Source organism: Homo sapiens, chromosome 13 (assembly GCF_000001405.40).
Source record: "Homo sapiens chromosome 13, GRCh38.p14 Primary Assembly".
NCBI classification, from domain to species: domain Eukaryota; kingdom Metazoa; phylum Chordata; class Mammalia; order Primates; family Hominidae; genus Homo; species Homo sapiens.
This window is the reverse complement of record NC_000013.11, coordinates 33476273-33499023: the sequence shown is the minus strand read 5'-3', so window position 1 is coordinate 33499023 and position 22751 is coordinate 33476273. Positions and strand designations below refer to the sequence as shown.

Here is a 22751-nt window from a genome sequence, read left to right as displayed (position 1 = left end):
TGGGATTACAGGCATGTGCCACCACACCTGTCTAATTTTTGTATTTTTAGTAGAGACGGGGTTTCACCATATTGGCCAGGCTGGTCTTGAACTTTTGACCTCAGGTGATCTGCCTGCCTCGGCCTCCGAAAGTGCTGCAGTGTACTCAAAATAGTTTTGTTGTGGTAGGAAGAATTTGAGACTATTTCAAGATTCCTCTCTCAGTATTTCTGAAGCATTGCATATGCAAATATGCAATATTGAAAATATGAAGGAGATACAATGTATGCCTTCTTTACTATTTTATAACTTGGATCATAGCTGAATGTACTCTTTACTTTTGATTCATTATTATCTTTCTCTGTACCATTTTAGCATTTTTTATTTAATACAAGAAATATTTGTATCTTATCTTGCAAAGATGTTATTTTAAATTGTCATTTAATATGTATAATTTGGACCCATTTAATAATAGAAAGCATTTAAACTCATTCAATCTCATTGATTATCTTTTCTACCCAAAGCTAATCTTATGTTTCTTTCATTATATTAATAGAGGTCCTATTACCTTATCTCTTGCCTATTACAAAAATGCAAATATTTTAAAAAGTCGAATTCATGACCCACTGCAATATTCTGAAATAAAGAGGCTCTAACAATCCCTAATGTAAAATCATTAGAGGAACTTGAATTTTGATCTATTTAACTCTCACTCATATCATTTCCATTAAAACCTTTTTCATCAACATTGGGATAACACTTTGACCCAGAGTGTGCACTTAGCAGAGGAGAATTCCAAGTTCTTATAATTGAAGGTTATCAGTTGTCATGCTGTGCTTCTAACTATTTCATATTGACTTAAGACTCAAGAGTAAATGTATTATTTTTCTCTGTTTGCAAAGAACTAGATGCTTTTAAAACTTCAATTTAGACACATGGAAGTATCAGTAGCTTCTAGTTCGTCTCTTTGAAATCAGTTCTTGGTATGACAGCTCTTTTTTATTAGCCACTATTGTAATGTCTTAGATTATGTTATGCTAGTAAAAAGTTGGTTGTTATTGATGCACATGGTGAAGGAACTCATTTCGTATTACAGAGTTTTGCATGTCTGTATTTATCAATTCCCTTGATACTAAAGTAACATAGTAGAACCACAAAAGTAATTACGTTATTTACTAAATCATTATCATTTCAGAGTTGCAAGGGTTGTATATGCCAGGACGCTCTCACACGTCTAATTCCACCTTCACCAAACCTGATACTCTCCACAATGAGTAGGGATCACTAGACCTATGAGAAGACACAATAGTACTTGGCACTTGGTGGATGTTGAAACTACAGTAATAGCTCTAGACAGACAGGGAAAGACTAATAGTGATTTTTAAAGCAGATAGTAGATAGAATAAACAAATCAGCTAATTTGGCCACCAAGTGAACTTGACAGGTTTGTATATTGAAGAGGAGAGAGAAATAAGTGGAGCAGTGTCAAGATAACTAGGAGGAGTGACTGCGTGATTTAGCTGTGATTTAGAACTAAAGGCTCATACTACCACCTGTTTACTAAATATTTTTATGATCTTGGAAAACCTTTCTCACTTCTTTATCAAAATAGAGACTTCCCAAGGTTGACATAATCATAGCTTCAACTCTGTTTGCTGATAGAGGAAATGAAATTTCAGGCTGAGTACAGCCTTATACACAGTCCTTTAGATGACTAATATTACTCAGAGAACAAAATAAACATTCAGTCTTCATGGAAAAGAAGTAGACTGTGTATTTTTGGTTACATCTTAATATTTAGCACATAACGTCAACAACATACATTTGCACATGGAGGAGCCCAGCAGATCATTTTTTTCAGGATGGTAATTAGATTAATGATTTGGGAAACTTAAAGGTCTTGGGATGTGATGGGACTCATTCTGAGGTCGTGCTAATTAAGCTAAGCCTGTCTTTTATTCTTCTCAAAATTTGGGAGGATACCCAAGGTCTATTTTCCTTGCCATAAAGAATAACCACAAAGCTGTGAAAATAAGACAAAACAGAGTTCTCTTACAAAATTATCTGTTTGTTATATACTTGAGGTTCAGTTGAGAAAAACGGTACTTGTAGGATAATTGCAACAAAACAGAGAGCAGCTTATCACATAGCCAAAATTTATCCAGAAACGAAACTATATAAAGATTTTCAAAACTCAAGGATCTAATAGAATTTGAAAATTTATCATTTGATGTTGAGACAAAATGGCATACATTTCTTCTTTGTTTAAAAAAACAGCAATGAATATGTATAAACTGTATCATCACTATCATAATCATCATCATGAAATTTAAAAGTACTCTTCTGTATGTGTACCTGTTCCAGTGTTATAGAAAAAGAGTTAAACATGGAAGCCATTTGGATGCTTGATACTTAAAAACATACTATATGTGCCTATGCATACAGGTGATTCAGATGAATTGATATTACACAAATGTCTGACCTAAACAAATTTTTATAACATGTATAAGAAGAGAAATTGCATAATCAAGTGGGATGATAAGTTAGGGAGAGAACTGTATATTAAAAATGATACCATGAGGAAGTTTTTACCATGAGGATATTATGGAAACTGACCAATTATTCTAAATAAATTAATAATAGTAATAGTAACAATAATAATGAGGCAGTGTTAGCTGCAAATGTATTTGCTATTGTAAATACACTTTATTTTTTAATAAAATAAACTGAGTTTATTTTTAATTTATAAAAGAATAAAGTTTATAATTCATATGTAAATTCTATAATGCATATGTAAATTATAAAATTTATACTATAAATTATATTATGTTTACATTAGAAATTATATAAGTATATTATAAATTATATTTAAATAAGTAGAAATTATAAAATCATAAATTAAAATGATTATAAATATATTATAAAAATAAAATTATTTAAATAATTATTTAGTTAATATAATTATATATTAACTATATATAACTATAATTATATTAACTATACATAATTATAATAATCACATATTAACTATATATAATTATAATAATTTATATTCACTATCTATTATAATAATTATATATTAACTATATATAATTAAATAATATAATTATATACAATAATATATAACTATATAATATAATAACATAACTATATATAATTATATGTAATCATTATATAATTATATATTATATAATTATAGTACATTCTAATTGTATAATATTAATTATGTAATAATAAAATGATTATATTATAATACTTGTCTGAATAAAAAATAAATTATATTAAATGTGGAAAGATTATTAGCTCAAGATGAAAATTGATTTAAATCATCCATTATAAAAGAGGCATGGAAAACAGAGAGTAATACAAAACAATTCAAAACCATGCTCCTCTTCCTTCTTACTAGCTTTATTCAAAGAAAATATATACATGGCAAGTATTTGGCAAATATTTCCATCCTGTTTAGAAGATTGGAAATCTGAGACACAAATATTTAAATATTTTACTCAAGACTAATAAGAAAGTAAGTGATCCACATGAAGAAAGTGTTCAAGCTTTCCCGTCCTTTAACTTTAGTTCATGCTGCCCCTTGTAAATGTTTATCATTTATCTTCAAGGCTTTCTCGAATAGTACCATGTATAGAGGAGCTCATATTATTTGATAAGTTAGCATTTTCTTAACAAGTCTCTAATGTAAAAGACAAGTTCAAAATTCCACATTTCCACTGAGCTGTCCACTTAAAATGGTTAAGATGATAATTGGCTTAAGTGATGTCTAAGAAAACCTAATGTGATAGAGTTCTGAATAGTTTTTTAATTGACAGGTACAATCACAAGAATGGATGAAATTGGGAAGTAAATTGGTTTCTGATATTATTCTCATGTGTTGTGTATTTTCTGAAGTATTTTTATGGTGTACATGTAGGAGCTAGAAGTATCTGGCATTACTATACTTGACAGACAAGCTCAAAGTGAGGCCCAGAGCTAGCGGAAGTGTAGGCAGGAAATGGAGTCACTGAGTCATGTCATGGGAATGCATGGTTAGTGAGCATTGATAACATTCAGACAGACTGCACTGTTGATTTTGGAAGACTTGTCGTGGGAACCCTAAGTAGAGTCTTTTGGGGGCGCATTTGTTTTTATGTTTTCTACTGTGTGTAAGTGGTCTGGACTAGTTATTTCTTTTTTTGGTGCAGCAGCAAAGAAAACCGTGACATTGTGACCTCTATAGAGTGTATCATATAATCTCTCTGGCAATTGTCCTAAGTGGCCAACTGGTCATTCTCATTGTGCTAGCTATAGTGAAATAAAAAAAAAAAGTACTGCTTTTTTGGTCAAAAAGCTATTTTCCTGAAGCCTCCATCCAGTTGCATCTGGACTATAATCTTAACAGTCAATCCTGTTGACCACTGTTCTATCTTCAGCAATCTTCTCACTGGTAGTAGACAACGACCAAATGCAGTGTGTCAAAAATAAGCCGGGAAAGCCCATGCAGAAAGGTGGGGGAGGTAGAGCAGGAGAGCCTTAAACTCTGATTGTTCTGATTATAATTCCTTTTCACGCCCATTTCGTCTTGCAAGTGGTGGTTTATTCATTCGAATCAACAAATATTTATGGGAAGCATGCTAAATGCAAGGTACTGCATTTAGGGGCTGAGGACACAATAATAAAATCACGGCTCTCCTGGAATTTAGACTAGTCAGGTGAGGAAACAATAAACAAAGTAAGTAAAATGTGTAGTGTGCTTATTAATGGCAATAAGTGCCCCGGGTGGGGGTGGAGTTGAAATAACATCAGAAAGGGGATACTGGGTGGCCGGAGTGAAGGTTTGCAGTTCTAAAGTGGTTGTTTGGTGAATGTTGCACTGAGAAGGTGGCATTCAAGTCAAATGGGAAGGAAGCATCTGCTCTGCTTCTACACTAGACCTGGAGTTCAGAAAGAATTGGAGCGCTTTCTGTCCCAGTTTCAAAGGAAACTTGGAAGTGAGCAGCTAACTCTGGGTAATCAGGTATCTTGATGAACACAGGGTTCCCAAAGTGGTTTTGCCTTTTTGGGTTTACTACTCTGTCTGATGAGAAACCCGCACCAAGTCGTTTACGGTCTCATCAGAAATGTCATTAACCTGGCACCAACCTGTGGATTTTTTTCATAGCTGTGTTCCACTCAGACCTACCTTTGACCTTGGGTGCAGCCAACAACTGGCCACTTTCTGTGAATGTACAAGTTTAAGTGTGGGGCTGAAGAGTTAGTTAGAGGCTGAGTAAATCCTAGATTTGAATTTTCTTAACTTCAATATTTGTCTTCTTTTGGATATGCATTGTTTTATACAGTTGATCCAGAAAATAGCTACTTTTTAAAAAACTAATAAACTTTAATTTTTAGAGCAATTTTATGTTTACAGAAAAATTAAGCAGAAAGTACAGCATTCCCAAATACTGCGCACCCCCACAGTTTTCTCTCTTATTAACATCTTTCTTTAGGTGTTAATATTCTGTATTATTTATTACTTATTACTAATACTCCCTATTATTTAGATGTTAGTATGCCCTATTATCTGCATTTGCTATGATTGACGAATCAGTATGATACATTATTATGAAGTAAAGCCATTGTTTACATTAGTGTTCACTGTGTTGCATAGTTCTACCGGTTTGGACAAATGCGTAAGCAGCTTTACTGATCACGTGAGATCACTTCTGTGTTCATTCTGGGACTTTGGAGGGGTTGGGATAGTTGAGTGTGATAAATCAGGCCCCAGACAAGATCCCTGAATCTAAAGTAGGGGTTGTGTGAGTGTCTGAGCCTTGGTTCCGCAAGGAGGCTCTGTTGTGATAATGGGTTTATGGTTCCTAAAAGTCAGGTGATCATGGCAAACTTTTTAGCTGTTCCACCCCTAATCACACACATTGCTGATTCCCTCTGGAAAATTTAACCTGCTTGGAAGTCCGTACATCTCCCAGCACCACAGAACCTTGTTCGACAGAAGGAGGATACTTCAGAAAATCTATGCAGTAAGAGATGCCTGTTCTTTTGTTGTGTCATATTTGAAGCAGTTGAATAGTCAAAAGTGCACTTAGCATTTGAGTGACTTTGGCAGTTTAACCTCCATGAAACTCAGCTTTCTCGTTAAAAAGAGACATAATTGTTACTGGAAAGGGGTCCTGATCCAGACCCCAAGAGAGAGTTCCTGGATCTCGCACAAGAAAGAATTCAGGGTGAGTCCAGAGTAAAGTGAAAGCAAGCTTATTAGGAAAGCGAAGAAATAAAAGAATGGCTAGTCCATAGACAGAGCAGCCCCAAGGGCTGCTGGTTGCCCATTTTTATGGTTATTTCTTGATTATATGCTAAACAAGGGGTGGATTATTCATACTTCCCCTTTTTAGATCATATAGAGTCACTTCCTGACGTTGTCATGGCATCTGTAAAATGTCATGGCCCTGATGGAAGTGTAGCAGTGAGGATGACCAGAGATGACTCTTATTGCCATCTTGGTTTTGGTAGGTTTTGTTTGGCTTCTTTACTGCAACCTGTTTTATCAGCAAAGTCTTTATGACCTATATCTTGTGCTGACTTCCTATCTCATTCTGTGACTTAGAATGCCTTAACCATCTGGGAATTCAACCCAGTAGGTTTCAACCTCATTTTATCCAGCCCCTATTCAAGATGGAGTTGCTCTGGTTCACACGCCTCTGACATAATACTTAACTCAGAATCAATGAAATAAGCTCTGGGAAGTACCTAGATCTGGTAGACATTCAGTAAATGATAACTGTATTATTACAATATCTGTCAGGCCTCTGAGCCCAAGCTAAGCCATCATATCCCCTGTGACCTGCACATATACATCCAGATGGCCTGAAGTAACTGAAGAATCACAAAGGAAGTGAAAATGGCCTGTTCCTGCCTTAACTGATGACATTACCTTGTGAAATTCCTTCTCCTGCCTCATCCTGGCTCAAAAGCTCCCTTACTGAGCACCTTGTGACCCCCACCCCTGCCCGCCAAAGAACAACCCCCTTTGACTAATTTTCCTTTACCTACCCAAATCCTATAAAACGGCCCCACCCCTGTCTCCCTTCCTGACTCTCTTTTCGGACTCAGCCCGCCTGCACCCAGGTGATTAAAAAGCTTTATTGCTCACATAAAGCCTGTTTGGTGGTCTCTTCACATGGACGCGAGTGAAAACATTCAATTGTCATCATTTCACTACCAGAGGTTCTTGCATTTAGGTTCCTCAGAAGAATCCTCTGGGACAACAGGTTTCAAACCTTATTCCTCAGAACTCTACAGCTCCTCATCACATTGTGTGAGGTTTAATGGAGAAACAGATTAGGCTGGACTCTAGATTTCCATTTTATTATTTATCTCTAAGGTTGTAATGTGCAAATAAAGTTTATAAACCATTTTTTTATGAGAAGTGGTTTTAGACAGAGATCCTTGATTGTATTTTATAAAGTCTACAACAGAGTGAGGCTAAGTTCTTGTACTTTCTTTTCAACCCCCAAGGTCTCACAGATCACTGATGAAATGTACCATATAGACTCTTAGGAATTTTTGCTAAATCCTTTCATTGGATTTTAAAAAGAAAAAAACAAAGAAATGAACAAAACAATAATCTTGAAATTTTCCAGATTAGAACACGTTCTCTCCTAATACATGATTTGGGATTTCTTTTCTTAAGGGACTGCTCTGATCTTAGACAATCAAATCATCAATGTTTTCAATTTTATATTAATGTCTCCTAAGCTAACTCAGCCCTCACATTCATTTATTCAAAAATATTTGTTGAGTGTCTACTGTGGTGCCACGTACCAGAAATACCATGGAGAAATGTTTTCCGTTTTCTACCTGGCATTTTTCCAAGGTCTGTTATCCTTTCAACAGTTCAGTTCAGCACAGAACTTGCATTTTAATTTTCATTACAAACAGCCTGCCCATCTACCACTGGCACATTCTCTAGCATGTCATAAGCAAGTCACATGGCCACATAGTATTGAAACGGGAGACTTCCCTGACTCCCTTTACAGGATATGAGACAGGGGTATGGCTCCCTTGTTCGGTTGCCCACTGCTCAGACCCCTTGTGAGAGGAGGAGCATGCAGATGGGCAGGTGCAGAGGCCAGGGCGAGCACTTTGGGCTCTGGCCCCATGGTAATGTCTAATGGTGGGTGCCTGCAACCTCAGTGTTACAAAGCTCTTTCAGCTTGGCCACCCGCAGACGGCTTGAGTGTTAATCAGCTCAGTGGACCTTCTGCCTTTTCGCAAGGGCAGAGGGCCAGTGTGACAGCTTCCTGTATCCCGAGCTCTTGTCCAGTGTCCCGGAAAAATTGGGTCACACACGGACTGGAAGGATGAATGTGAGGTTTTATTGAGTGGTAGAGGTGGCTTTCAGTGTGGTGGATGGGAAGCTGGAAGGGCGGGGGCTGGGGGATGGAGTGGGAAGGTATCTTCCCCTGGAGTTGGGCCACCCAGCGGCCGGAGGCAAAACTCCTCTTGCACCACCCCCAGCCAAACTCCTCTCAGCATCCAGATGCCCCTACTCTTCTTTCTCTCTGCCGCGTTGTTCCACTGTCGGTCTGCTTGCCTCCTGTGTCCTCACCTGCTGGTCTGCTCTGGAGCTTGGGATTTGGGGTTTATGTGGGTGCAGGATAGGGGATGTGGCGGACCAAAGAGGAGCGCGAAAACAGGAATATTTGTTCTCATTTAGGGCCATGAGTATCCAGGCTTGAGGGTGGGGCCTTTGCCGGGGAACTGCCTTCTTCTACCCAGTATTTCCCTGTCTCCTGTCCATATCAGTATAGTACATACCTACTAGCATCCTTCAATTTGCTATTTCAAATTAATTCCCCAGCGCAAAATAAGCATGTGGAATTCCTTAAAACACATAAAAAAACAAATTTTTGAAATCAGGTTGTAAACTATTGTCATTAATTCCATTTATAATTGTATCAGATAAAATTCTGTTAGTGGTTATTTAAACTTATGTGAAAGTTTAAAAAAAATTTACTTAATGAGTAATATTATTACTTTATGTCACAACCATTGCTTGCTTAACATACAGTTTTTCCTTAAGCTCAAGGTTATCGATCCATTTGATTTTTTTCCTTTCAGCAATGTTCCAATTTTGAAAATGATCTCAAAAATGATTTCTACCCCTTTTAGAAGAAAGAATACAATGGGTTACATTTCTGGTCTGGTAATTCTCTGAGAGTCTTCATGCAAATAATGAGAACTTGCAAAATGGGCAGAGATAAAGAAAAGAAAACTTGAAGTGATTAGCCCCATGGTGCGTCGCTGTTTCTTGAGCTTTTCAAATGCAAGCCACCATTGTTCAGATTAATAAAATTAGCACATTCCATTTTGGCCGTAGAAGCTGGATAAGTAAATTACTTCATACTTTCCATTAAACTCTAATTTAAACACTTTGAAAAGAAAGTATAAAAGGAAATTTTAATAGGTACATTGTTTTCAGATGTCTATATCCTGTTTTTTATTAGTTGATTGGACTTGACCCACATAAAAGTAACATTTAATTTCTCTAAGTCATGTATTAGACATTGGTCAGAGAAAGAAAATGAAGAATAATATGATGGCTTCTTAGCTTTTATTATAACTAAATAGAAAAATATCTGAATACTGGACCACTAAATTAATTTTTAACTTGGTTTACCAAGAGATAACTTAATAACACAAAAGGCTTTACTATAGTGAGTTGCCCTATGGAAGTTAAAAGAGAAGGCAGAAAACTATAAAGGCTATATGACTACATATAGATTATATAACTTGATATTTATTTTCCTGAACTGAGAGTTGATCTTTTTTTATTAGCAATTCTAATCAATTGATTAATCATTGACCAGAGGAAGAAAACTAATAATAAAATATGCTGGTATGAACTAGTTTATTAATAGTGGGGGAAGAGATGTGAATACCTTAGAAAGATATTTAGAAGCTAGAATCATTTAGGCAGGGTGTGAAATTAGAAAGAGATGGAAGAATGAAGGGTGACTCCCAGCAGAAAGCACACTGCAGGAAGACCAAGTCCAGTCAGCAGGGTGTGTTCAACTTGAGTGTAATGAATCTGAGGGACTTGAGGGTTAACCCAGTGGAGATGATTGTTGGGGAATTAAATATGAGTCTGAAATTCAGGTAAAGAAAATGTGTTAATAAGCATGACTTAAATGCTTTAAATGTGTTAACACAAAATCATATATGATCACAGCATAAAGAGGGATGAATTCTGTGAATATCAAAGAAGGCTACAGAGAGAAGTTGGTATTTGAACTTGAAAGATAGATAGGATTCCAGTAGTTGGAGAGAAGAAAGGATATTCCAGCTTAGGGCAATTTCATGTGCCAAGATTCAAAAGCTTGAAAGTGTTTGTATGATCAGGAAATGTCTGGTAGAAGAAAAAGCATAGAATTCATGAAGATAATGAGTATTCATGCCCAAAAGGAAGATCATTGCCTAGTAATATTTTGATCTCATTCTTAAAAATCTTCATTCTATTCTCGAGGGGCAATTGGGATCCATTGAAGATTTTTGAGGAGGAAAGAGCCAGATATTGGAAATAAGATGTTGTAGACAGAAGTAATTGGGTTTGATTGTTGATTTTATTTGTGATTGACACAGAAATACAAATCAAAGATAATACTGAGGCTTCTAAATCGGAAGGGTAGAGTTGATGAAGGTGCAATTAATTAAGAAATAAAGCACCGAGGAGAAGCACACCTGGATGAGGGGACTCTTGAGCTGAGGCATGGTAGACCTCTAAGGTGGCCCTCTGGATGCAGCTCCGGAATCGTGCTAGCGGAGATGGAGATTTGGCAGCCTGGGTCTTCAAAATCAAGATAACTGTAGTTAGAGGAAGGAGTAATGAGAAAAAGGAAGATTAAGGACAGAACCTTAGGGAATATGTACACTTAAGGGAGAGGCAGAGGAAGAGGAACTAGAGGGGAAGGCTCAGTGACCAGAGACACACAAACAAGAACCAGGAGAGGGCAGTATCATAGAAGCCAAGGAAGAATGGTATCACCAAGGGAAGGAGAGGATTAGATGCTTTGAAGCTGCCCTGGAAGACCAGCACTGAGAGAACAGACCTTTGGAGCTCACAAATACAAGGACATAGCTGAGCAAGAGGTCACAGAGAGAATATTTTTCATTGAGTGATGGGTTGTATGCCAGATTGCAAAAGGTGAAGAAGTGACTGTCAGATGGATCACACACTGCAGCATAAGTATAAGCTTGGTGAAGTTTGTGGATGATAACTAAAAGAGAAAGTAAGATTGAGGAACGTGGCTTTGGAGGGCAAGGCAAGCAATTCATTGAGAAAAATCTCGTGTATTAAGGAGAGTAAGGGCATTGTAATAGACCAAGGTTAACACTTTTGAACAAGGAAGATTATGAAGGTGCCCAAATTAAAAGCTTTCTAATGATGTGAGTGCACCGGGATCTCATGAAACTCTCATAACATTCTTCCATCCCTAGCCCAGAGTCTTGGGAATGTCTCTCCTCCTTTTAGAGCCTTTATCTTACATCCACATTCTGAACTTTCCCCCTTTCTTTTCTTTTCACAGACTATTTAAAATATACTAATGTCTCCTCATTTATAAGGGATGTAGCCAAAGTAATTTTGTGTATTTTTAACTTTTGGATTCTTTTCCGTGTCTATGTGTGAGATGATAATTGTGAAAACTGGACTAACTAGATCCCAGGGAAAATGAAAAAAGCATATCCTTTACACATATAATGATAGTAACAAAATCAACAACAATAATAAATACAACTACAGCAACAGCATCAGCAGCTGCTAAGATTTTCCTTACTTTGTGCTAAAAGAGTCCTAAGAGCTTTACATGGATGATTTCATTTGATCTTCACAACTTTGTGATACAGGCTTTATTAATGTCTACATTTTCTAGATGAAGAAACCAAGGCTCAGGGAGGTTAAGTTGCCCAAGGTCATAGAGCTTGGGAGTGCTCAAACAATATGACAGAGACCAATAACCATACTTTCTAAAAGGTCATTGTTTTAATAATAAATGGTTATTCCAGGCTACGGTGAGTTTAGAAAAATGATTTGGCTTGAGTAACTTGTTCTCCAATAGAAAATGTCATATTTTCAATGATGCAATATGGCAGGCAGCACAATTTATTGTGGAGGAAACTTTTTAAAGGTCAATGAGGAACTGCTCTCCCTATGTCATAAAAGTCCTAACAGGTCACTGTGGAGGTACTCTTTTGAAGGCACTGCTTTTCTTTCTGCAGGCAAAAGGCAGGCAGTGTTCAAGTGCAAGAGCTTGTGTTTTGGAAGAGGAGTTGTTAGGGGAGAGGAATGGCTGTGATGAGGCAAAGAAGTGTGTCAGTAAACAGAATAGTGGAGGACATGAGCCATGCAAATCACATATTGGAAAAAAGCATCAATAAGGAAAGATGGAAAGAGGACAGTAGTGCCCACTTCTCTGCGGTTTCACTCTCCAGAGTTTGAATTTACAGTGGTACAGTACAATAAGATATTTTCAGACAGACTGCATTCACATAACTTTTATTACAGTATATTGTTTTAATTGTTCTATTTTATAATTAGATATTGTTGTTAATCTCCTACTGTGCCCAATTTATAAGTTAATTTTATCATAGGTAGGTACATATAGGAAAAAACATAGTTTATATAGGGGTTGGTACTATGCACAATTTCGGGCATCCACTGGGATGCCTGAAATGTATCATTATGTAGGAAAGAAAGGATTTGAAGCTTCCAACTCTGCAGCTGCCCTCTTCTCGGTCCCACTTTAGCCCCTTTACTTTGTTAACAAGCCCATACTTGTTAAGTGTATGGACACTGAGAAACCCATTCACATTCTATTAGTGGCTCTTGAGGACACTTCAGGAGTCTCTGGGTCCAAATCCCAAGAAATAACTCCAATCTACTTCTTTCCCTAGGGTCACTCTAGGTCAGGGCTGATCTCAAAATGCAGGTGAAATCAGTTAGGAGCACTCTGACCATGATTTATAAGCAGTCAGTCAAGGGTCTACAGTGAATTGTTCCCATCTTCAGCGCTCTGAATTGCACACTTTCTGCATTCCACATTTTGATTATCTTCAATTCACCAAAGTACACCTGATAATTAATTCATTTTATTTTAGCCCAGTCTAATTCTTGTTTTCTTCTTGCATCTCTGCATGGACCTTCTTTGGCGTTGAAATAATTTGAAATTGAAAGGTTGTATAATTTTCTGATTTCTTGGAGTGTTTTTTGAAAGTCAAAAATATTTTAGAAACAAATGTTTTTGGTAATTTGACTTTTAGTACTATCAATGATGGTACCTTATATTTGTATAGGCATTAATAAAATGCAAAGGTATAGCATATCTATTACCTCATTTAGTCTCAATTTCAAGTGATAATGGGAATTCTGTCCCTCTGGAGGATCAGATTCTCAGCTCTTTGTCAGGGAATTAGCAAGGCCCAGCCATTTCCACAATATCTTCATGTAGCACAAGAAAATTTTCAGGGCTGGAAATTACTTTATAATCTATGTTGTTCTTCTTTAAAACATTAACTCTTATTTGTTTTCTAATGAGTTTATGCCAACAAAGCATTTTTTTTTAAGTTTGAGGGCTAAATATTGTGGATATGTTTTGCATATTTACATAATTTCCTAATTTCTTGGAGAGTTTTTTGAAAGTCAGAAACATTTTAAAAACAAATGTTTTATACTTTAAACTGGTCTCACTTCAAAGATTTTTGTAACATCATGGAACATTTCACTTCGGTAATTAAAAATGCCTTTGAGTTTCAGAAGAACTAGACAGTAATAAAACTATTAGCTGTCTACTTATTTTTGACATTCACTTCATTCAAGTAAATCTGAATGCATTTCCACTAATTGCATTTGCAATTTACCAAGTAGGAGTTTGAGAGAAAATATTCCTAGGCTTAATTTACAAATCTGTCAAAATAACTGATTTTGAATAATAGAGATCAGTTTCTCAGTATGTGAATCTGCTATTTTCTTCTTCCTGTATTGCAGTGGTTTACTTATTCTAGTTGTTTCAAATATTAGCTGGTAGTGTTAAAGGTTATGAATGGTTGGATGAAGTGTCTCCTTAAATTGATATTTTGAAATTTAGGTGATCTAAGACTTTGAAATTGAGCATAAATTTAGATACTTAATGTATCATCTTATGAGATTACCTTACCTCTATTTCTTGGTTTATCTTCCCTAACTTCTGCTCCCATACTTGGAAATGACTACATAATCACCTGAGCAACTGATTCATCTTGCTCACTGCCCAGATAGGGCCAATTTATCAAGACAGGGGAACTACAATAGAGAAAGAGTTTAATATACATAGAACCAGCTAAATGGGAGACTGGAGTTTTATTGCTACTCAAATCAGCCTCCCCCAAACTTTGGAAGTGAGGGTTTTTTAAAGGTAGTTAGGCAGGTCAGGGCTAGGGAATGGGTGCTGCTGATTGGTTGGGGATGTAATTGGGTGTGGAAAATGATTTTCCTGCACTGAGTTTGCTTCTGGGTGGGGGCTACAGGACCAGTTGAGTCATGAGTCACATGTCCAGGTGTATTCATATGGTCTTCAGCAATGCAAAAGTCTGAAAAGACATCTCAAAAGGTCAATTTTAGATTCTACAATAGTCATGTTATTCATAGGAGTAATTGGGGAAGTTACAAATCATGTGACCTCCAGAACAATGGCTGGCAATCATTTAACTATGCCTACATCTTAGCAGAATTCAGGCCCCTTTCATAATTCTAACCTGTGACCATGTTTTAGTTTTATAAAGACAGTTTAGTTTTGGGAAGCAGTATTATCACTTAAACCATAAACCAAATTTCTCCCAAAGTTGGCTGGCCCACATCCAGGAATGACCAAGGGCAGTTTGGAGGTTAAAGGCAAGATGGAGTTGGTTTGATTGGGTCTCTTCCACTGTCTTAATTTTCTCACTGTTATAACTTCTGCAAAGGTGGTTTCAACCACATCCTAATTTTATGCAAGTTATTGAACCCACCGTATTGGAATTTTTTAATAATAATTTTTACACTTTATATAAATCTGAAATTCTAAGTGACTTTTATTGGGCAAATGTCTCATTTCATTTTGTTTTTCTAGGGAAAATCATATACTTTTCATATAGCCATGCATTTGTGGCTGAAATGCCAGTGGTTTGGTCTAGGTCCCATTGCTTGCAGCACAGAAAGCCAATCACAGAGAGTGTGAGTATTGCCAGGGAAGAGGGCTTTTTATTCGGGTGACATCAGCAGAGGAACATGAGAGATCAGTCTCAAATCCATCTCTCTGATCAATTGAAACTGGGGGGTTTATATGTGGGGGAAGAAATGTAACTACAAGTGTGGGAAAACCACAATTAGGGAGCTGTAAGGAAGCAATCATGATGAATAATGGTTCTGGCGTCTCATTGTCTAAATGGAGTGATCTGGTGAGTTTCCATCCCTTGCCTGAGGGTTGCTTTCCTTAGAAAGAATCTCAGATGAGACAAATATAAGTTTCAAGTTTTAAGACTGGGAGGGTCAATTTCTACGTGTATTCAAAAATCTGTAAATATCATTTCTATGTGGAAATTGGGCCAATTTCAATTTTTGGAAATTCTTAAACTTCCTGAGATATGGTGAAAATTATCAATTATTTTCAAATTAGAATTTTCTTCCAACTTCTTTAGTAATTGCTCATTTATTTATTTGGCCCTGACATTAAATAGATCTGTTATGTTCTAATTTTAATTGACTTCTGAGGCTACTTACCACTGTAAGTTTGGACCACATGGTCTTAGGAGATCCACAGCTGTTCTAGATTTTTATCCCTAGTTAAAATTCATTCCAGATTTTATTATCTTAAAGTTCTCTAGGTAGGTTCTTGTTGATTATGTGCCCTCCAACTCCCAAGGATTTGGCAACCTTAACTCACTTTAGAATTTTGTGACTTCCTTGCCAGGTGAAGTTCTATAGGGAAATGCATACTGAAGGTTTTATTGAATTCAAATCCAGACTGTAATCAGGAGGGTGGTCCAGGGTGTCCCCAAATCAATGCAAATCCTTTAGTCAGTGTTATTATTCTCCTCCCTCCTACCTGATTTTCTGCTTCTCTCCTATCTGCTTAATTTTTAAGAAAAGATAAAGACAAACTTTAAAATACAAACTAATCTGAGGATTTTTCCTGAAAACTTTCTTTGTTAGATTATGGCTAGACTTCAAACTTCAAGTTGGATTCTAATTACATTTTATATATTGGCCTAGTGTACCAAACAAAAGAACAGTTAAAAACATAAAGCCTCCCTTAATTAAGTTTCCCTATTCTTTCCTTACCACATTAAAAGATGCATTTTTAAAAATTGTGCTTTTACCTTTGATAATTATTTATCAACAAATGTCATGTTTATTTTTAAAATTCTAATCAATTATGTATTATCAGTAATCAATAATTACAACAAATAATTGTTAAACACGGAAGAAACACTTAGAACCTCATCACAGCATGAAAATTTTAAAGATTAAAAATCTATCTTTATATACTTATTTTTGTTGTAGAAATATAAATTAGTGATCAACAAAATGCTTTTTATTGATTTTCATTACATTAGGACAAAATACTGATGGGCAACGGGAATGGATTTTAAGAAAAGGCACCTGTTAAAAACTGTTAAAACTGTTTAAAACAAGCTTGTTAGTGGATGTTTTCATCTTTTTATTGTGAAAATTTTTAAACATAAGCAAGACTAGATAGAAGAGTAGCCATGAACCCTCACGTACACATTATCTAGCTGCCATAGTTACTGACTCATGCCGATACTGTTTGATCTGCACGTCCACCTACATCTCCCTTACCTATATTATTTTGAAGCAAATTCCAGTCATTGTGTCAATTCATCAGTAAAATTGTAGTATATATCTCTAAAAGATAAGGACATTTTAAAAACATAACCACAATGTCATTGTGATACCTACAATTATCAATAATTTTTAGTATCATCAAATATCCAGTCAGTGCTTCTATTTCTTTTTTTTTCTTTCTTTTTTTTTTTTTTCGAGACGGAGTCTCGCTCTGTAGCCCAGGCTGGAGTGTAGTGGCGCGATCTCGGCTCACTGCAAGCTCCGCCCCTTGGGTTCACGCTGTTCTCCTGCCTCAGCCTCCCGAGTAGCTGGGACTTACAGGCGCCCGCCACCACCACGCCCGGCTAATTTTTTGTATTTTTAGTAGAGACAGGGTTTCACCGTGTTAGCCAGGATAGTGCTTATATTTCTAACCCAGATTTTTTAAGTTTGTTTAAATCAGAGTTCAAATAAAGTCCACACATAAAAATTAGTTATATGGCTCTAAAGTCTTTTAATTTATGGATTTGACTACTTCTCTCTTTCCACCTACCCCTCCTTCTCTCACATTCACACACAACCTCAAGTTTTCTCTCTCTTTTAATTATTTTTCCTTACTAAATTATTTGTTGAAGAAATTAGATTGTGTTTTCTCTAAAATTTCACACAGACTGGACTTTGATGATTGCATTTAACATATTCCTTTATCCTCCGTGTTTTCTATAAATTGATAGTTGCATCTAAAAGCACAAATAGACTGTGGTTCAATATCTTTAGGTAAAACTACTTCACAAATGGTGCTGCCTTCTTTCATTAAGAGACATCTAATATCTGGTTATTTCTTTTTTGTGATGTTAGCAGCTGGAGTCATTCGATGCCTAGAATGATTATTTTCTCAAGAATTGCAAATGGTAATATACAGAATTAGTGCAGTATATTTGAATTAATCATTAGTATATTCTATTAATTATTCTAAATTTAATAACTTCTCCCATCTACTATTTGGTTATGTCTTGGTACAATTCATATTGGAAAGGAAGGATTCATGCTTGATTCTTTTCATTTACCATTTTTCAAAATAATGACCTTATCCACCGAGATCCTCTAGTGGTGAATTATTAGTTGTTATTGCTTTTAGTGGCACTAGAAACTAATGGATTTAAACATATTTGATATGCTTTAAGCCATTACTGGTAATATGGTTCTTTTTCTTAAAGTTTACCATCTTTGGTCAATGAGAGCCTCTTGAAGTTGGATCCTGACCCTAATAAAAAATTACATGACCCCAGTAATTATTAATAGCTTCCCGGATTTTACATATGATAAGACCTTTCAGGATCATCATAAACATTTTCTATTCCTGAAATTAGTCATTTCTCCAAGGAGTTCTCTTTCCTTTTAGTCAAAATGGAATTTTGAAACCACAACTGGGGATTTCATTGCTACTACACTAGTCATTGTTTCTAAGCCTTTTCATTAGATAGATAGAAGAAATGTACATGTGTGTAAGAATGCATTTTTAAAACAAAATAATCATGAGTTTATATTCATGATTTCAACTTAAATTTAGTACTACAGTGTACTTCTCTGCTGTAATCATATATCTGTCTTTTCTTTTCCTGTAGTGATAATCCTGGTTCTCAAAAAACACTAGGGATGGTAGAATATCATATAATAGTCATGGTTTCATGCCATGACATATGCACACGGGTTTCAGAATGATAAAACCAACATTATTACTACCCACCATAAGTACCAGAAACACTTAATATTCATTTTTGCAAATCACACCAACTTCTTCTCTGTATGGTTATATCACCAAGTGGATACATATTTAGCTTAATTTTGTTCACTTTTATTTTTTATGGATTTTTAAAAATTTAATATTGTTCTATAATTCTGTAAGATATTAATGGTTCTGAACTCAAATATGTAATACAAAATGAGTCCTAGCTTCTATCTCTATTACTTCCACCCCATTTCCTTGCTCTTTCAATAGGCAGCCATTGAAAACAAGTTCTAGACTATCCTTCTATTGTTGTTTTAAAATTATATATAGCATATGTGTGTTATAAATACACATACAAGTATTCCTTCTGTCCTAAACTATAATACACTATACATTCCTTCTCCCTCTCTTGATCTTTTCATTTAAGAATTGTATTAGTTCATTCTCACATTGCTATAAAGAAATACCTGAGATTGGGTAATTTATAAAGAAAAGAGGTTTAATTGGCTCATGGTTCCACAGGCAGCTATACAGGAAGCATGATGCTGGCATTGGCTTGGCTTCTGGGGAGACTTCAGGAGACTTACAATCATGGCAGAAGGAGAAGGGGGAGCAGGCATCTCACATAGCGAGTGCAGGAACAAAAAGAAGGGAGGTGCTACACACTTTTAAACAACCAGATCTCACGAGAATTCACTATCATGAGAACAGCGCCAAGAGAATGGTGCTAAACTATCCATGAGAAATCCACCCCCAAGATCCAGTCACCTCCTGCCAGATGCCACCTCCAACACTGGGGATTACAATTCATCATGAGATCTGGGCGAGGACACATATCCAAAGTATATCAACAATACATCTGTGTCAACTCCATAGCAGTACATAGAGATAATCTTTATTTCTTTGTTCAGGAACGTTTATTTCTTTGTTCAAACACCTTAGCACTCCATTGCATGGATATGCCATAATTTATCCAAGCAGTCCTTTGCTGACATATGTTTGACTCTTTTAGGTCTTTTGTTTTTACAAATAATGCCACGATGTAGTATGCATCTGTCTTTTTGCATTTTTGTCTCTGCATTTTTGGGAAAGTGAAATGAATGCAGTTCTGGATCTAGGGATTAATACACAGGGAGCTCTGCCAGATACTATCAAATTCCCCTTCATAGGGGTTATGCCGTGTTTGCATTCCCACCAGCAGTGCATCAAGTGCCTCTTTCCTCTTGCTAAAAGAGAATGCTATTAAAGTTTTGGCATTTTGCTTATCTAATAGATGAGAAATGGAATCTCTGTGTAGTTTTAATACGCATTTATCTTATGAGCAAGACGGATAATCTTTTCATATGTTTAAATGCCATTTGCATTGTGATCTACTTTTCTGTGAATCATTATGTTCATTTCTATAGCCCATTTTTCTATAGAGCTGTTGGATTTTTTCCCTACTTATAAAATCTCTTTATATATTAGGATATTAATTTTTTGAATGGGATATATTTAACAAATATTCTTTCCCAATTTGTAATTTGACCTTTTACTTTATTGTTATTATTATTTGAGACAGGGTCTTCCTCTGTCACCCAGGCTGGAGTATAGTGGCATGGTTACATCTCACTGCAGCCTTGACTTCCAGAGCTTAATCAATCCTCCCACCTCAGCCTCATGAATAGCTGGGACTACAGGTGCATGCCACCATACCTGGATAATTTTTCTATTTTTTGTAGAGATGAGGTTTTGCCATGCTGCCCAAGCTGGTCTCAAACACCTGGGCTCAAGTGATCCTCCTGCCTTGACCTCCCAAAGTGCTTGGATTACAGGCATGAGCCACCATGCCCAGCCTGACCTTTTACTTTACTTTTTTAAGTGGGTGATGGTAGAAATCAAGATGGATGAAATTTAGATAACATTGGACACATTGAAAAAAAAGTAACATCAGTTTTATTAAAATATCATATTTATAATACACCAGAATTTATATCCTTTCTGACCTTTAAGTGCATGTTCAAAGATTTTTAATATCAATGTTAAAAAATATATAATGTGAAAAAATATTTTGGGTGATACCTGAGGAAAGAGATTTGAAAAATTTAGGTCCTCAATAGTAATTTTAGTGGTTTGGCACCTACAAAAGAGCCTGGGCAGGTATCAGGAAAAACAATATGACTTCGTGGGTGAAGGTGTTACTGAAACACCAAGGATTTGGGCTAGGTCCTGTTGCTCACTGCATAGAAAGCCAATCACTGAGACAACAAGCATTGCCAGGGAAGAAGGCTTGATTGGGTGCTGCATTGGATGGGAGATCAGTCTCAGATCCATCTCCCCAGCCAACTAAAATTGGGAGTTTACATAGTGGAAAAAGGAATGTAGTTACATGCAGGAAAACACGAATTGGAGGGGTAAGGAATAGGAGTTGGTAAACAGGAAGCAGGTGGTCAGTTAGGAAAACAGGAATTGGAGAGAGGTAAGGAAGCAGTCATGAGTCATGATGAATGAGGGGTCTGAAGTCTTACCGTCTGGATGCAGTGACCTGGAAATTTCAGTTCCTTAACAATCTGGGAAGCCTGATGGTTGGTTTCTTGAGAAAGGAACTCAGATAAGACAAATGTAACTTTCTCAATTGTTAAGACTTGGAGGGTCAATTTCTACGTTTATTCAAAATAAACTAAACATAAATTCTATTGGATAATTGGGCTGGTTTCAGTACCTTCTCCTCATTTCTCAGTCATGGGGAATCTGGTCATTGATCTTTCTGGCTGCTTCATGCGGAGGAATGGTGTTGTGGAATAATGGGATGAAGAATGAAAATGTGACACCTGTAATTCAGTTGTTGTGTCTAGACTCCAAAAGGAAGAGGATATAACAAGGCATGTCTGACCTCCCATCCCATCATGGCTGGCAATTCAGTTTTAGTTTTTTCTGGGGTCTTCTTGACCATAAGTGGGTTCACTTAGTCATCATGGAGCTTAGGATTTTAATTTAAGTTTACATTCCTCAGTTCCTTGGCAAGATTTGCCAGAGTCAGCATCAATGGCTAAATTTTTATTTTGTCCCATATTATTGTTGGGGTGATGTGGCTACCTGCCCCAGGTCTATCCTGTCCCTTAATGGGACCCCTGTGGTAAAGGGACTTAGAATCAAAAGTCTTATAGCCAAGTAAACATTTTAGGCCAGACAGGATGGAGATGGGCAGGCACTCATTAACCCTGAAAACCCTTTAAGCATTTTAAGAGCCCAAAACCAAAAGCTGAAAAGTAAGTTTGTAGAATTGAATCCTGGTCTTAGATATTGACTTGTAGCAATTAGCCATACAAAACATAAGCATTTTGTTAAACTCATTTGAATTAAAGAATTTAGAGAGGTAACATTTCTTAATTTGTCAGCTGTTTGGGCATTGTGTGCCCATCCTTGATTTGGAATACCTGAACTAATTTTATCTGTCAAAATCGGCTCTTAAAATCTCATGTGCCCACCTCTTTTACAGTAGTCCCTGGACCTCAAAGGATTGAACAGCTTTAATTTCTGGCCCTGTGTCTCACGAAAGCAATTCATTTTGGTGTCACCTTCTCCCAGGTCTGAAGACAAGGTTCTGACTGGAGTCAATGTTCAAGATTTAGCAGGAGTCAGTGTCTTTTTCAGACCCAGAAGTCAAAAGGCTTCATTAATAGGGTGTTTATTCAAGATGTTAAAAGGCTCAAAATACTTGATCAAAATAGCTAATATGTCACAAATTAAAACACTGTTATTTGGTGTCTACTGGTTATTGCCTGCAGCACTTTAAACCATTGTATTAAAGTAGTGAGGTTACTTCCTGCATAAGTCTAACTGTTAGCATTCTAGTGTCCAAAAGCATCAAAAACAGAGGTCCTATGCCAAACTTATCAAAGCAAGACAATTAATTTTTCTCTCCTTCATTACAAAAATGGTAATGGTAAATATCCGTTTTGGAAATTTAGTATGAGGATAAATGATCTCCTTTTACTTAAATAATGTACCACAAAACAGGGACAAAGTAAGAACAAGTGCACAATAATTTCTTTTTAGCTATTTAAAAGAGTGTCACACATTGCTAAGATTGATTCTAGATATAGTGCTGAAAACTGATTAGGTAATTTTTACCACTAGAATCTTTACACCAGTACAACACTTGAAAACATTTTGTTTTTAAATATATATATGAAGGTCCAACAGTGATAAAATGTT

At 36.2% G+C, this 22751-nt stretch overlaps 1 protein-coding gene across 5 annotated transcripts in view, besides 1 other annotated feature; it reads left to right on the top strand.

The window, feature by feature from the left end:
• Positions 1 to 22751, top strand: part of STARD13 (StAR related lipid transfer domain containing 13) — a 573658-nt gene that overhangs the window by 177771 nt on the left and 373136 nt on the right. The gene's annotated exons all lie outside the window — the stretch shown is intronic.
• Positions 8964 to 9540: an enhancer, noted in NCBI's record as "OCT4-NANOG hESC enhancer chr13:34063621-34064197 (GRCh37/hg19 assembly coordinates)". NCBI's record gives its function as "activates a minimal SCP1, AML or CMV promoter by ChIP-STARR-seq in primed H9 embryonic stem cells {active_cell/tissue: H9 hESC(primed)}" and the evidence as "EXISTENCE:reporter gene assay evidence [ECO:0000049][PMID:30033119]".